This window comes from Homo sapiens, chromosome 13, assembly GCF_000001405.40.
Source record: "Homo sapiens chromosome 13, GRCh38.p14 Primary Assembly".
In the NCBI taxonomy this organism is placed as follows: Eukaryota; Metazoa; Chordata; class Mammalia; order Primates; family Hominidae; genus Homo; species Homo sapiens.
The window spans coordinates 33,889,127-33,906,134 of record NC_000013.11 but is presented as its reverse complement, the minus strand read 5'-3'; the positions used below and the strand labels follow the sequence as shown (position 1 = coordinate 33,906,134).

Genomic DNA, 17,008 nt, shown 5'->3' with positions numbered 1-17,008 from the left:
ATGTGACACTTACACAAACAGAATCATTAATCAAACAACAGATTAAGTAACACTGTATGCATAGCATTATAAGTAGTGCTAAAATATAAGCCACAATCCCTCAAGGATATTATGATTTTTATGTTAAAAACAGAAGTAATTTGTGAAGACAAAATTCACTACATGGCACATCATAGAAAACTAAGCACAGAAACAGTTCAGAGAAGAGTAGTATCAATATGCCTTTAAGACTTCTTCCTATTAGCACATAGATATGGATTGTCTTATCAGGTCAGACATTTATCAAAGTGGGCTTTCCAATCACTGTTCTTGGTTTGTTTGTTTTGTTGTTGTTTTTATTTTTTATTTTTTGAAAATGACCAGATTTGGTGAAGAATGTTAGTGAATCATTTGAGTTCAATATTAATATAGTCACTGGAAATCCAATAAATAATATTTAGAGTGCACTTACTAGGTGTAAGACACTGAGCTTCATATTGTAGCAATCATCTGTACCATGAACATTGACTATTATAGGGGAAGAGGTTGTGGGAAAACTGCTTCAGCCCTGAAGACCCTATAGTTTCCATAAAACAAGAATGTAGATATTGTTATAAACTCATAGATGAATTATTTTCTTGCCATTTAGATTTTTATTTTATACTTAACAAAAGAGGTCTTTCAGGCTTAGATTTTTTGCCTTATGACACTCATGCATGCAAGAAAAAAAAAAGAGAACACAAGTGAAAGAAATCAGCGATGATGTTTTTAAGGTAAAGACAACTACAGCACAATTGTCACCTGGCTATCTGTGATTGTAGGCCTATCCTGATTTCAGAGATGTTAAAATGTGAAAAGCAACATAATAACAAATAACATGCACTCGTATACCCAGTACCTTGCTTAAGATACAGAACAATTTCTAACATCATTGTGCTGTAGTTGTAAAGACAACTACAGCACAATTGTCACCTGGCTATCTGTGATTGTAGGCCTATCCTGATTTCAGAGATGTTAAAATGTGAAAAGCAACATAATAACAAATAACATGCACTCGTATACCCAGTACCTTGCTTAAGATAGAGAACAATTTCTAACATCATTGGAGCCACTGATATATCCCTCTCTGGTCACAGCTCTCTCCTTTCCACCAAAGATAATTGCTGCCTTCAATTTTGTATTTATCATTCCATTGTTTTTCTCTACAGTTTTGCTAAATGCGTATCCCAAACAACATATTGTTCGGTCTTATTTTTCAACATACTTAGGCTCTGAGAAGTCTCACCAGCTGTTTAGGCCAGCATTGCCTCCCCAGCTTATTTGGCCATGGGGAATGTGTTCAGTGCAACCTCCATTACTTTCTGAGGAAACGGTGTTCTGAGGAAGTCACCTGGGAGACGTGGGCATGTTAAATGTGGAAGAAATTGCGGCGAGAGAAGGGCGGGCAGGCAGATTAAGGCCAGATTGTGGAAGGGCCTGAATGGCACGTGAGGGAATCTGGACTCTATCCTGACGCTTTCAGAGCCATCTGGTCCATTTTAAAGGATGTGACATGATCTGGCCTTGCTTCGGGAGGGTTCCTCTGACACCAGGAAGATGGATTAATGTGAAGAAAGACTGGAGGTAGGAAAACTAATTAGAAGAGAGTTAACAGTAGCCTAGTGAATGATGATAAGGCTCTGAGATGGGCCAGTGGCAGAGTTAAAAAGAATTTACAGGGGCCAAGGGAGAACACATGTTGGGACACTACCAAGACTGGTGACAACTGGGAGTGAAAGAAAGATGCTCATAAGAAAACTCAGGGTTTGAGCTTTGGCAATCAAAAAACGAGTGGTGCCATTAGGAAGAAAAAAACAGGAAAGTCAGGCAGAACAACTGATTTTTTAGAAACTATATAGTTTTGGGCATGGAAGAAGATGCAGTCATCCATTTAGTCAATATTTTCTAAGTGTCTACCACATGCCAGGAAATGTACTAGAGGCTGGGCATACAGTTATGAGAAAGACAAAGTCCCTAAGGTACAGCAAATAAATAAGAGTTAAAATTGACCATAAACAATTTTAGTATGTTCAAATTCAGATAGCATTTCAGAAATAAGTATTTTAAACAAAGGGATATAAAAGAAGCTGGTACTGAAACAGCCTTGTGGGCATGCACACATAAATTCAGGGAAGAAAACGATGTTAGTGTAATAAACATGATGTTTACAAGACACAGCAGGAAATAGATACCTATTTCTTTGCATAATTTTGGACACAGGTGCATAATTGGAAGACAAAATGAGATACTGAGTTTCTGTTTCAGTCTTGGAAGATAACCAATTAGCATCAGAGTTATCACCAAGGAAAGAGAGCACAGGGGCCAAACAAAGGGACTTCAGACCCCAAACCATTTCCCATAAGAGAAAGGTGACATAATGAAATAAACCTAACTAATAAGGCTCCAGGGAAAGTAATACAACTGCAGGAAAGGTCTGGGCTAAATCTCATGGGACAAAACATAGAGGCATTTTCTTGGTTATGCATAAATATGTGAATCCAGGGAAAAATATTGAGGACATCTGGGGTACATAGAGTGGTTGCTGGAGCCCACTTGTGAAACCTATTGTAAAATGTTCAGGAGTTTCATGAGCTAGGTATGAAACACAGATGTTATTTTAAAATAAGTTACATAAACTTACAAGTAAATACATTTCACTTAAAACAAAAGGTAATACACACTCAAAACTTATCACGAGTTATATTACATTGTACTATGACCTATGCTTCTGAGATTTTTTTTACACCTACTGTTTCTGTATGGTGGAAATACTTATAATGGAGTGTGACTGCACATTTCTACCCAAATTCACCTTCAGTGACATCATGTTGCTATCTAGGAGTATTTATACCACAGAAATTGCAAATGCTACAAATCAGTGTTTGATCTATTTCTCTGATTGCCTAGACCTGAGAAAGTGACAGAGAACTTTCTCTGTAGTAGGCTGAGCAAGATGGAGAGAGAGTAACCGGGATTTGGTCAAGAGCTTGGCAGGGGTTGGATTGTGTGGAGCCTTTCAGGCTACAGAAAGGAATCTGGATTTTATTCTTGGTGGAAAAGGGAGTTATAGTAAGGTTGCAAGCTTGTCCAACTGGTGGCGCACAGGCCACATGCGGCCCAGGATGGCTTTGAATGCAGCCTAAGACAAATTCATAAATTTTCTTAAAACATTACGGGATCTTTTTGCAATTTTTTTTTTTTTAGCTCATCAGCTATCGTTAGGGTATTTTAAGTGTGGCCCAAGACAATTCTTTTCTTCCAATGTGGACCAGGGGAGCCAAAACACTGGACACCCCTGGAGCAAGGGAATGACAGGATCTAATTTACCTCTTTTAAAACTTCCTCTGGTGGTTCTGTGGATAACGGACTGTCAGTTCACAAAAGTAGACATAGAGGGGCTACTATAGCCTTTCAGATGAAAAATAATGTTGGCTTGGACGGGGAAGAGTGTCAACAGCAATTAAGAAGAGTAAATGAATAAGGGGTAAACTTGGGAAGTATAACTGATAGGCTTAACATTATATGCAACTAAACTATCTGATATACACAGTATAATATTATTAAACTATAATCATTAAATGCTTTTGAATAAAATACGGAACAATTATCAATAGGCTTTACTGCCAGATGCAAATCCTTTTTTACCACTGATTTCCATATAATTAATAAGTGACATGGACAATGATCCACTAGTTATTTCACATGGTCCTTCAGATGCTAATCCTTATGAGACCTGAGAATCCCATAGTATGTCACCTGCAAAGACAGCCCCATGTTTCTCCACCTACATTCATCCTGCCTTTTCAAATTGCTGATTCTCAAACTATGGCAGGCAGACACTTGCTTCTGATAGAACCACACTGGCTTCAGATAGGGTCAGCGTTATGCTTGAACAAACAAGAAGACTAATTATAATAGGACCTATGAATCTCACCATATTCCATCAGCCTCCAAATATATTCTCCATATTTCTTCACCCACGTCACCCTGTCTCCTGCCCATATATTCACCATTTTTTTAACCTGAACTGATATTCCGTCATCAGTGTTATTCCACCATCACAGCTTTTGCCTTATGTGTGGGATGGCAGAATAGTAATTTTAAAAATGTACCCATAGCAGGGCAGGGGTCAGGGTCTAGGGTGGAAGTGGATATTTCTCTTCTAGAAATCATCATGCTTTTTTCCACTAAGCAGCTTTAAATGAATTAATTTATCACATTTTAGAAGCTGCAAAGAGTCTGATCATGAGATTTTGTTTTTTTGTTTCTTGTTTATTTTTATGTGTTTTTATTTATGCATAAAAGATATATTAATACATAGTTTGGGGTACATATGATAATTTAATACTTTCATGTAAAGATCAAATCAATGTACATGGGATAACCATCACCTTAAATACTTTTCTTAATGCTAGAAACATTTGAATTATTCCCTTATAGCTCACGTGAAACGTAAAATAGATTATTATAAACTATAGTCACCCTACTGATCTATCAAACACTAGGTCTTATTTTTTCTATCAGGTCATATATTTGTACCAATTAATTAACTTCTCTTCATCCTTCCTTCCTCTCTACCCTTCCCAGCCTCTGGTAACTGCCAGTCTACTCTCTATCTCCATGATACCCACATTTTTAGCTGATATATATGAGTGAGAACATGTAATATTTGTCTTTCTGTGCTTGGCTTATCTCATTTAAAATAATGACCTCCAGTTCTATCCATGTTGCTGAAAATGGCAAGATTTTATTTTTTTATGGCTGAATAATATTTCATTGTGTATATATACCACATTTTTTTATCCATTCATCCATTGATGGGCACTTAGGTTGATTCCATTTTTGGTTATTGTAAATAGGGTTGCAATAAACATGAGAATGCAGACATTTCCTCAAAATGTTGATTTACTTTCTTGTGGATACATACCCAGTAGTTGAATTCCTATATCATATAGTAGTTCTATTTTATTTTTGTGACGAATTTCCATATTGTTTTCTACAGTGGCTGTACTAATTTACATTTCCACCGGCAGCGTATAAGGGGTCCCCCTCTCTCCACATCCTCACCAGCATCCATTATTGTCTTTTTGATAAAATTCATTTTAATTGAAGTGAGATAATGTCTCATTGTGATTTTGATTTGCATTTCTTCGATGATTAGTGATGTTGAGCATTTTTTCATATACCTGTTGACCATTTGAAAGTCTTCTTCTGAGACAAGTCTAATCACATTTTTTGTCCATTTTCAATTGGATTATTATATTTATTATTTTTTTTTTTTTTGCTATTCAGTTGTTTTAGCTTCTTCTATATTCTGGTTATTAATACCTTGTCAGATGTATAGTTTTCAAATATTTTCTCCCATTCTGTGGGTTGTCTCTTTGTTGATTGTTTCTTTTGTTGTGCAGAAGCTTTTTAACTTGATGTAATCCCATTTGTCCTTTTTTTGCTTTGGTTGCCTGTGCTTTCGAAGTCTTACACAAACAATCTTTGCCCAGATCAATGTCTTAGAGTGTTTCCCCAGAGTTTTCTTCTACTAATTTCATAATTTCAGGCCTTAGATTTAATACAGGTCTTAATACGTTTTTTTTTCTATATGGTGATAGACAGAGATAGGAATCTAGTTTCATTCTTCTGCAGATAGTTAACCAGGTTTTTCAGCACCATTTATTGAAGAGACTATCCTTTTTTCCATTGTACATTCTTGGAAACTTTGTCAAAGACTAGTTGGCTATAAATGCATGTATTTATGTCTGGGCTCTCTACTCTGTTCCATTGGTCTATGTGTCTGTTTTCATGCCAGTACCATGCTGATTTGGTTACTATAGGTTTGTAGTAAATTTTGAAGTCAAGTAGTGTAATGCCTCCCGCTTTGTTCTTTTTTCTCGGGATTGCTTTAGCTGTTCAGAGTCTTTTGTGGTTTCATATACATTTTATAATTGCTTTTTGTATTTCTGTGAAGAATGTCATTGGCGTTTTGATAGGGATTGCATTGATTCTGTACATTTCTTTGAGTAGTATTGTCATTTTAACAAGATTAATTCTTTCAACCCATGAACATGGAATGTGCTTTCATTTTTTGTGTTCTCTTCCATTTCTTTTATCACTGTTTTACAGGTTTTCTTGTATAGATCTTTCACTTATTCAATTAAATTGATTCCTAGGTGTTTTATATTCTTTGTAGCTATTGTAAATGGGATTTCTTTCTTGACTTATTTTTCAGATTGTTTGCCATTGGCATATATAAATGCTACTAATTTATGTATGTTGGTTTTGTATCCTGCAACTTTACTGAATTTATTTATCAGTTCTAACAGTTTTTGGTGAAGTCTTTAGGTTTTTCTAAGTATAAGGTCATGTCATCTGTGAACAAGGCTAATTTAACTTCTTTTTCCCAATTAGGATGCTCTTTATTTTTTTCTCTTGTCTAATTGATCTAGCCAGGACTTCTAGCATTATGTTAAATAAAAGTGGTGAAAGTGGGCATCCTTGTCTTTTTGCAGATCTTAAAGGAAAAGCCTTCAATTTTTTGCATTCAGTAAAATGTTATCTGTGGGTTTGTCATATACAGGCTTTATTACTTTGAGGTTTGTTTCTTCTTTATCTAGTTTGATGAGGCTTTTTATTGTAAAAGGATGTTGAATTTTATCAAATGCGTTTTTAGCATCTATTGAAATAATTATATTTTTTAAATCTTTGTCTGTTGATATGATGTATCACATTTACTGATTTGCGTATGTTGAACCATCCTTGCATTCCTGGGATGAATCCCACTTGATCATGGTGAATGATCTTATTAATGTATTGCTGAATTCAGTTTGCTCGTATTTTGTTGAGAATTTTTTTGCCTCTATGTTCATCAGGGATATTGGCCTGTAATTTTGTTCTTTTTTTTTTTTTTTTTTTTTTTTTGTCTTATTGTGTCTTCGTCTGGTTTTGTTATCAGGGTAATGCTGGCTCCATAGGAGTTTAAAGTATTTTCTCCTCTTCAATTTTTTTGAAGAGTTTAGTTTGAGTAGAATTGGTGTTAGTTCTTCTTTAAATGTTTGGTAGAATCCAGCAGTGAAGCCATGAGGTCATATACTTTTATTTGATGGGAGACTTTTTATTACAGCTTTGATCTCATTACTTGTTATTGGTTTGTGGAGGTTTTTAATTTCTTCATGGTTCAATCTTGGCAGGTTGTATGTGTTCAGGAATTTATTTATTTCTTCCGGCTTTTCCAATTTGTTGGCCTACAGTTGCTCATAATAGCATAACAGTCTCTAAGGATTTTGTGTATTTCTGAGGTCTCAGTTTTTATGACTCCTTTTTCATTTCTGATTTTATTTACCTGGATTTTCTCTCTTTTTTCTTAGTATAGCTAAAGTTTCGCTGATTCCATTGTTCAAAAAACCAACTTTTTGTTTTGTTGATTTTTTGTTATTTTTTTAGTCCCAACTTCATTTATTTCTCCTGTAATCTTTATAATTTCTTTTCATCTACTAATTTCAGATTTGATTTGTTCTACCTCCCTAGTACATTGAGGTACATCATTAAGTTGTTTATTTAAAGTCTTTCTACTTTATTGATATAGGTATAAATTGCTATAAACTTTCCTCTTAACACTGCTTTTTCGGTATCCCATAGATTTTGGTATGTTTTATTTCCATTTGCATTTGTTTCAATAAATTTTTAAATTTCCTTCTTAATTTCTTTATTGAGCCATTGGTTGTTCAGGAGCATGTTGTTTAATGTACACATGTTTGTGTAGTTTCCAAAATTCCTCTTGTTAATTGATTTCTTGTTTTATTCCATTGTGATCTGAAAAGATTGAAATGGTTTCTACTTTTTTGGATTTGTTGAGGCTTATTTAATGGTTAAAGATATGGTTTATTCCAGAGAATATTTTATGTGCTGATGAATAAGATGTGTATTCTGCAGCCGTTGGGTGAAACGTTTTGTAAATATCAGTTAGGCCTATTAGGTTTAGTGTGTAGTTAAACTCTGATGGTTGAGTTTTTAAAAACGTTTTGTCTGAATGATCTGCCCATTATTACAGTGGGGTGTTAAAGTCCCCTACTTCTATTGTATCACAGTCTATTTCTCCCTTTAGATCTGTTAGTGTTTTTTTAAAGTTTTAATGTTTATGAGTACATAGTAGGTATGTATATTTATGGGGTACATAAGATATTTTGATACAGGCAATTGTTAATGTTTTTATATATACTTGGGAGCTCTGGTGATGGGTACATAGATATTTATAATTGTTGTATTTTCTTGGTGATTTGACCCCTTTATCATTATATAGTGAACTCCTTTGCTTCTTTTTACAGTCTTTGATTTGTAGTCTATTTATCTGATATATTATAGATACTTCTGCCTTTTTTTGGTTTCCAGTTGCCTGGAATATCTTCTTCCATTCCTTCACTTTCAGTCTATGTGTGCCTTTACAGATGAAGTGACTTTTTTGAAGGCAGCATACAGTTGGGTCTTGTTTTATCCCTTCTGCCACTCTATGCCTTTTAATTGGAGAATTCATTCTATTTACATTAAGTGTTAATATTGATAAGTAAGAACTTACTACTGCCATTTTATTGCTTATTTTCTGGTTGTTTTCTAACTCCTTTCTTTTTTTCTTACTCTTTTCCTTTATGGTTAAGTAATTTTTTCCCTGGCAGTATGTTTTAATTCATTGCTATTTATTTTTAGTGACTCTATTATAGGTTTTTATGTTATGAGTACCATGAGGCTTATCAAAAAAATTTCATATATGTAACAAGTTATTTTTAAAGAGTTGATGACTTATCTTAGATCACACAAAAAATAGAAACAAAGAATAGAAACAAAAAAAAATCTACAATGTAACTTCATTCCCCCACATTTTGACTCTTGTCCCAATTTACATATTTTTATATTGTCTATCTCTTAACTGGTTGTTATAGCTATTATTGTTTTTGATATATTTGTCTTTGGAGTTTCAAACTAGAGTTATAAATGGATTGCACACTATAGTTACAGTATTAGAGTATTCTGGATTTTTACATGTACTTAATTTTACCCATGGGTTTTATATCTTCAAATTTTATTTTTGTTTTCCTTTTCTTTTTGTACATTAATTTTTTTGTTTTCTTTCAGGTTGAAGAACTCCCTTATAATTTCTTTTAAGATAGTTCTACTAGTGGTGAATTCTCCCAGCTTTTGTCTCAATAAGATTTTATCTCTCTTGCATATTTGAAGGATAGCTTTGCTAGATACAGTATTTTTGGATGAGAGGTTTTTTTCATTCAGCACTTTAAAAATGCAGTTTCACTCCCTGTTGGCCTATATAGTTTCCATTGAGAAATCTGTTGCTAGACAAAAAGAGGATAGAGCCTCTTTATATGTTACTTGCTTTTTTTTTTTTTTTTTTTTTTTTTTTTTTTTGAGACAAAGTCTTACTCTGTTGCCCAGGCTGGAGTGCAGCAGTGCAATCTCAGCTCACTGCAACCTCTGCCTCCTGAGTTCAGGTGATTTTCATGCCTCAGCCTCCCAAGTAACTGGGGACCACCACTCCTAGCTACTTTTTGTATTTTTAGCAGAATCAGGGTTTCACCATGTTGGCCAGGCTGGTCTCAAATTCCTGACTTCAAGTGATCCACCCTTCTTGGCCTCCCAAAGTGCCAGGATTACAGGCATGAGCCACCAAACCTGACCAAATTACTTATTTTCTTTTGCTGCTTTTACTATCCTCTCTTTGCCTTTGAACATTGAGAGTTTAACTATTATATGCCCTGGGGATAATCTTACTTGGGTTGAAACTATTTGGTGTTCTCTGATGTTCTTATACCTGTATATTTACATCTATTTGAAGATTTGGAAAGTTTTCTTTTTGTTTTGGTTTAAACTATTTTATACTTTCTTTTTATATTAGAATAGAAACTTTTGCAATCAATCCTTTTTTAAAATTATATATATACATATATATATATTTCTTTGTTTCAATAGCTTTTGGGGTACAAGTGGTTTTTTTGTTATGCAAACAAATTGTACAGTGGCGAAGTTAGAGATTAAAGTGAACCTGTCACCTGAGTAGTGTACCTTGTACCCAATATGTAGCTTTTTATTCCTTTCACTCCCACTCTCCCCCATTCTGAGTCTCCAAAGTCCATTATACCACTGTGTATGCCTTTGCATACCCATAGGTTAGTTCCAAATTATAAGTGAGATTATATGGTATTTGGTTTTCCATTCCTGAGTTACTTCACTTAGAATAATGGCCCCCAGCTCCATCCAAGTTGCTGCAAAAGACATTATTTTTTGTTCGTTTTTATGGCTGTGTAGTATTCTATGGTGTGCATATACCACATTTTCATTATCCACTCTTTGGTTGGTGGGCACTTAGGTTGGTTCCATGTCTTTGCAATTATGAATTGTGCTGAAGTAAACATATGTGTGCAGCTGTCTTTATGATATAACGACTTTTTCCCTGTGTATAGATATCAAGAAGTGGAATTCCTGGATCAAATGGTAGATCTACTTTTAGAAATAGAGAAATATCCAGACCTTTAAGAAATATCCACACTGTTTTCCATAGAGGTTACACTAATTTACATTCCCACTAGCAGTGTATAAGCGTTCCCTTTTTACCACATCCATGCCAACATCTATTGTTTTTTGACTTTCTAATAATGGCCATTCTAGCTGGAGTAAGGTGGTATCCCACTTTGGTTTTAATATGCCATATTCCTGATGATTAGTGACGTTGAGCATTTTTATATGTTTTTTGGCCATTTGTACATCTTCTTTTGAGAAATGTCTATCATGTACTCTGACCACTTTTTGATGGGATTATTTGTTTTGCTGATTTGAGTTTCTTATAGATTTTGGATATTAGTCCTGTGTCAGATATATACTTTGTAAGTGTTTTCTCCCACTCTGTGGGTTGTCTGTTTACTTTGATGATTATTTATTTTACTGGGCAGAAGCTTTGTAGTTTAATTAGGTCCCATTATTTTTGTTTGTGTTGCATTGGCTTTTGGGGTTCTAATCATGAATCATTTGCCTAGGCCAATGCCCCAGAAGTGTTTTTCCTAGGTTTTCTTCTAGAATTTTTATGGTTTCAGGTCTTACATTTAAATCCTTGATCCATCATGAGTTGATTTTTGTATACGATGAGAGATAGGTGTCCAGTTCATTCTTCTACGTGTGAATTATCCAGTGTTCTCACCATTCATTGAATAGGTGTCCTTTCCCCCATTTATGTTTTTTTAATACTTTGTCAAAGATCAGTTGGTTGTAAGTATTTGGCTTTATTTCTTGGTTCTCTATTCTATTCCATTGGTCTATGTCTCATTTTTATAGCAGTAACATGCTGTTTTGATTATTCTCACCTTGTAATATAATTTGAAGTTGGGCAATGTGATACCCCCAGATTATCCAGGAACACCTGCAGTGTTCCACTAGCAACAGCTAGCTAGGTTCCAGACAATCTGCGCTCAGAACCCAAAATTGCCCCAGGCCATAAGCCTTCCTAGTGGTGACAGCAACTGGAGCTTTTAGGCCACACTCCTCCCAGTCAGCCAACAAAGGTGGGATATCCAGCTCCTGTACCCTTGGCTGAAGCACACTTCCCACTTGCCCCTCAGTTCTGGCCAAGGGTTTGTCCCCACTCGAGATTATATCATGAATCACAGTTGGAAGCTTCTCTCAACCTATGACTGTCACTTGAGTTAGCTGGCAGACTTCCACGAGGTCTCCTGTGAGGTAAGATCAGGAACGACTTCCCTCCATTCCCACTGGAAACTGGAAGTGCATGCAAAGCACATCCTGATGCCACTCCTTCTCATATACTCCCCACCACTCACTAAATCAGCTCCAGTACTGGGTAGGGTTATGGCCCTCCCCCATATCCTGGATTGCCAGGCTACCCAGTGGAGGTCTATATCCCAGAGGCAGCTTATCCCCCTCTCACACTCTGGGGACTTACAGTTTTTCACCTGGCTCATTGTGTAGGGTTCTGCTTCTTTCAAAGGGTCTGTGGTTTGTTCCTGTGTTGCTTATTGGAAAAAGTTCACAGTGTGAATTTCTACACACTTTTGTCTTTCCAAGTGGAAGAGACATACTAGCAATGCCTCCAAGCTGCCATCTTGGCCCTTTGGAAAGTTGGGGTTTTTTGTTTGTTTGTTTGTTTTTTTCCTTTCAATAACCTTTCTACTCCTTGCTCTTGCTGAACTCCCTCTTGAATAGCAGTATTTCTTAGATTTGGTCATTTGATGTCATTTTCTATATCCTGTAGATGGTCTTCATTCTTTTTTCTTTTTTCTCTCCTAACCATATTTTCAAATAATCTGTCTTTGAGGTGACTGATTCTTTCTTCTGCTTGATCCATTCTGCTGTTGAGAGCCTCTAATAAATTTTTCAATTCAGCAAATGTATTTCTCAGTTCCAAAATTTTTGTTTCTTTTTTATTATTATTATTTCAGTCTTCATAAAATTAGTCTGATAAATTTCTGCATTGATTTTCTGTGTTATCTTGGAGATTGCTGAGTTTCCTTACAACTGCTATTTTGAATTCTTGGTCAGAGAGCTCACATATTGCCTTCTCATTGAGGTCAGGCACTGGTTCCTTATTCTGTCTATTGAAGAGGTCATAGTACCCTGCTTGCTGTTTTGTTTTGTTTTTTTCTTGTGAATGTATGTGTATGTCTTTGTATTAAAGAGTTAGTTATTTATTTCAGTCTTCTTTGTCTAGATATTTTTGGTTTTATTAGATATATTTTCTGAGAGATTCTTCAGTGCTAGGTTGTTGCCTCCTTTTTGGCTCTTGGTGATTCCTTAATCCAAGGTTCACCTAGGTTCTAGTAAATAATTGGGGTGCTACCTGTCCCAAGAGGGGGTTCCAAAGGGGATATCCTGGCAGTGTGGGAAGGCTGGCTAAGGGTTCATGCCCAGGGGTCCTGTGGAATGTACTTCCAATGGTGTGGTGCTGCTGAACAACCACTCTGATTTGGCATCTCCCTTTTTCAAGTTACAGATCAGAGTTTCCAGGGCTGGGGATGGTAGTTCCACCTCCTTCCCTTCTCTCGGCCTGTCCTCAGTGATATTGTCCCTTCTGGCATTTGAAATGCTTTCCATGAGTTAAGGCAGGGACAGTTCTCCTGCCAAGGCTCCCAAGATGGTGGAAAACCTGCTTGTCCACCTTGATCTCACTTTTTTGAGTGTAGAAATTGTGAATGGAGGGAAATACTTTGTGCACTTGGTGCTGGACAGAAGGGGCATTACCAATATAGAAATTCAATTACCTTACAGCCTTCTCAGAGATTTTTCATTTCTCTGTGGCCCCAGGGACTGTCTCCTTTTTGTACTTGAGCTCTGAGATATTGCTGGTGATAATCTTGGTGCTGTCTATTTGTTTTTGGTTTTTGTCTGGGGGAGTGAGGTCATCTTGCTTCTACACTGCTATTTTGGAACTGCCTGAGGTTTGACAGTAAAGAAAAAATGTTCATAAGTGAAAGTGTGATTGGTGGTAATGGCTGGGAGTTGGGAGACACAAAAACACTAACTTGAGAATTATAGGCTCAGATGTTTGGATAAGGTGAGGTAACAAATCTTAAGTGGAAAGACTGATGGGGATATCAAAAAGAAAATAGAGATAGAATGAAGTAGGGAAACAGAAATGAGACGGCACCAATACCCAGCTTTGGAATGCTTACAGTTTTATTTGGAGCAGAAAGGATATAAGATGTTTTCAGGCTGAGGCTGCCTTTCTTTAAGTCTTAAGGCCCTCCAGTTTCAGTTGGATGAAACCTTCTATTAACATATGAGGGACCCACATCCCTTATTCTGGCTCCTGGAGCTCTGCCTTTGATGTTCTCTCTTGGATCCTTTCTTCAACTTTCCTCTAATTTTTGTCTTAGTTAAGCTTAGCTTACCTGCTTCATTCAAGGCAACACTCCCTAAGGAACAGCAAATTTCTGTATTTCAGATGTCTCAGCTATCTCTCAAAGCTAAATCAATACATTTACAGCATATGAACTGTTATGATGATGGAGTTATTGGATTTTTAAAATATTCATTTGACTTGCTTGGATAGTTATCTGACCAAATTGTTTGGTTATTTTGGTATTATGTAGAGACAGTTGAATAATGTTATTAAATTATATCTAATCTGTTTTTTTTCCTGGTTGAATTGTCCTGCTATATTTAACTTCTGTGCCTAGAAATTATTTTCTGATGTCTCGTTAATTTTCCTTGCATTCCTCTGAAAGTTTTCACAACTATTCTTATTCTTAATATATGGGACATAGGACTTTAAGCACATTTATATGATGCAAATATATATATATTCTTGATGTATTTATGTGATTATATGTGTTATGTGTCTATACATATATATTTGACATTGTAGAAGTAGAGCATCTGGTATTTTCATCCACATGTTTGATATTATATAGTTGTTATAATCCAGTTGGCTGTGTGCTTAGGTCACTTTTTTTGTTGTTGTTCATTGATGGGTGTAATATGCAGATAATCAAGATTTGATGCAATTAAGATAAAATACATCTATCATTTCTCCTTGATCTACCATATTAGATTAGCTTAAAAGGATTTGATTTTAAGTAGGACACATTAGTCATTATCCACTAAGTACCTTTTTGTCTTCAAGTTATTTGCAAATTTATTGTATCAGGGTTTCTGCCAGTATTTTCTTAAGCATCCATGTGAAGGTTACTTGTCTGCTCTGCTTGTTATATGACTTGTGACTTCATTTAGTCCTCTACTGGTGACAGATTTCCCTGTTAACACCTCAAGATAAAACCTTTAGGGAACCTTGCATATGAATAAAAAGAATGCATTAAAACCAAGGTTGGTAGAGTTGCTTCTATTATTAGAATTCCTACTATGATTTTCTGCCAGCATTTTGAGGGCATAATGAATGCTTAAAAATACCATTGCCACTCTTAGTTGTATATTTAATATTAGACTTAGCAAGCAAGATTGTAAAAATGCTTAGTTTCTTATTTTTTACAACCACTAAACGTGGTGGAGTCTTCAGTTATTTTAAGTAGTGATGACCTAGAAGGACTAAAAAGATAAAAATTATTGGAAATTATAACCTTTTTCACCTTGTAAGTGAATTAAATTATATGTAACACAAAGTTTATGTTATTTCATGAGGTATGTGATTGATACCCAATAATATTCTGTCTCCTAGCTATGACATTTGCATGTTTTAAAAATTAGGTTAATTTTACATATTGATATATCTAGAAGAAAGCATGGTATAAAAGGAATAGGAATGGATTAAGGAATCCCATTGGCCTAGTTTGAATCTCAGCTGGCCCACCTACAAGCTGTGTGACCTTGGACAAGTAACCTAAGCTCTTGGAGCCAATGTTCATCATCAATAAGATGGTGAAACCATCTCAGTTTCATCATCAATAAGATTACCTATCTTAAGAGTTTGTAGTAAGCTTAAAGGGGATGATGTAATTAAGCTCAGGACAATGCCTGACACAAACATAGTAAATGATAAATAAACATGAGGGTCCAAAGATTCATAGATTTTCCGAAGAGAGGTGGGAAACTGCTAAACCATTTTAGGGCAATTATTTTGCTCATTTCATCACACTGGGTCAATACGATTGCTCATTTCATCACACTGGGTCAATACGATGGCATCCAAATCACCATTGTGAGGTATCTAGGATATAATCCCTTCTAGTCTAATGAAGTCAGATTAACATTGCTATTATCAGATAAGGCAGAACTACCCATATAGGGTAGTAATGGCACATACATGAGCTCTGATATTGCTTCTGGGCATGGATGGAACCAAATTTAGATCATCAGCACAAATGGAAAATTGGTGTAGGCTCTGGCCAAATGACTGAACTCATAAATTAACATCATTTGCTACACAATAGTTCTATTGAGGTGACACATTACCAAGGGTTATGCAGGCCTCAAGTCAAAGCTGGGACCCTACCCACCCCACACAGTTTACATACTGAACCTCAACACCCTCGGAGACTTTAACAGGAGGTCGTAAGGCTGCTCCTGATCATAAAGAGTCATTATCTCCATCATCACCAACGTACTAACAGATACATATATAAAATATATAGGGTCCATGAAGTCAGGACCGTTGAACCTATTGACCACCAGTATATCCCTAGCACTCAGAAAAAGAATCTAATCCATAGTAGGCTAACAAAATGTCTTTGTTCTCCAGCTTCATCCATGTTGACACAAATGACAGGATGTTATCCTTCTTTATAGCTTAGTAATATTATATTGTGTATATATACTGCATTTTAAATAAACCAGGCACAGGCAGACAAATACTGCATGGTTTCATTCATATGTGGCATCTAAAAAGGTTGCTGTCATAGCAGTAGAGAGTAGAATAGTGGTTACCAGAGGCTGGGGATTGGAGGAAGCCTGGGATAGGAGGAGAGGGTGGTCAATGGTTGCAAAGTTATAGTCAGCAAGGAAGAAAAATTTCTGGTGCTCTATTACATAGTATGGTGATTATAGCTAATAACAATTTGTGCATATTTCAAGATAGCTAGAAAAGAGGATTTTGAAAGTCATTAGCACAAAGAAGTAATAAAGGTTTGAGGTGGTAAAAATGCCAACTACCCTGATTTGATCATTATACAATGCATACATGCATTTACACATCACACTACCCTCTAAACATGTACAATTATTATGTGTCAACTATAAAGAGAATGTTAAAAATAAATTTTTAAAAAGGGTATTTGTTTACTAAATTTTCAATTGGCAAATTTTTTAATTATCAACCAGCCTGTGGAGTTATGGAGCTAAAAAATCTTACTAAAGGTTAAAAACTAGCCCAGCCCTGTTGGTTCAACGCTTATGATTTCTAAATGTTCCTCAAAATATCTGTATATTATTTCTTGCCTTACCAAGAATAGTGTAGTGAACATAACTGCATTGTTCAGTGATGTGTTGGATCAATGAAGCTTTGGGTTATCATGCTAAGTCCAGTCTCGTCTTTCAG

General features: G+C 35.7%; 1 protein-coding gene across 11 annotated transcripts in view; it reads right to left on the bottom strand.

Moving 5' to 3' along the window:
* The window catches only part of RFC3 (replication factor C subunit 3), a 159,229-nt gene that overhangs the window by 71,243 nt on the left and 70,978 nt on the right, over window positions 1-17,008 (bottom strand). For 2 of the 11 annotated variants that reach the window (XR_007063695.1, XM_017020680.3), the window contains exon 9: window positions 1-17,008. This exon is cut by the window's left edge. The exons of 6 other annotated variants lie outside the window; for them this stretch is intronic. Coding sequence is in view for 4 of the 5 variants with exons in the window: in XM_017020680.3 (XP_016876169.1) it covers window positions 16,946-17,008 (63 nt within the window). In the remaining variant the exon portion in view is untranslated. 3 more of the 11 variants (XM_047430491.1, XM_047430490.1, XM_047430489.1) reach the window with 2 other exon arrangements.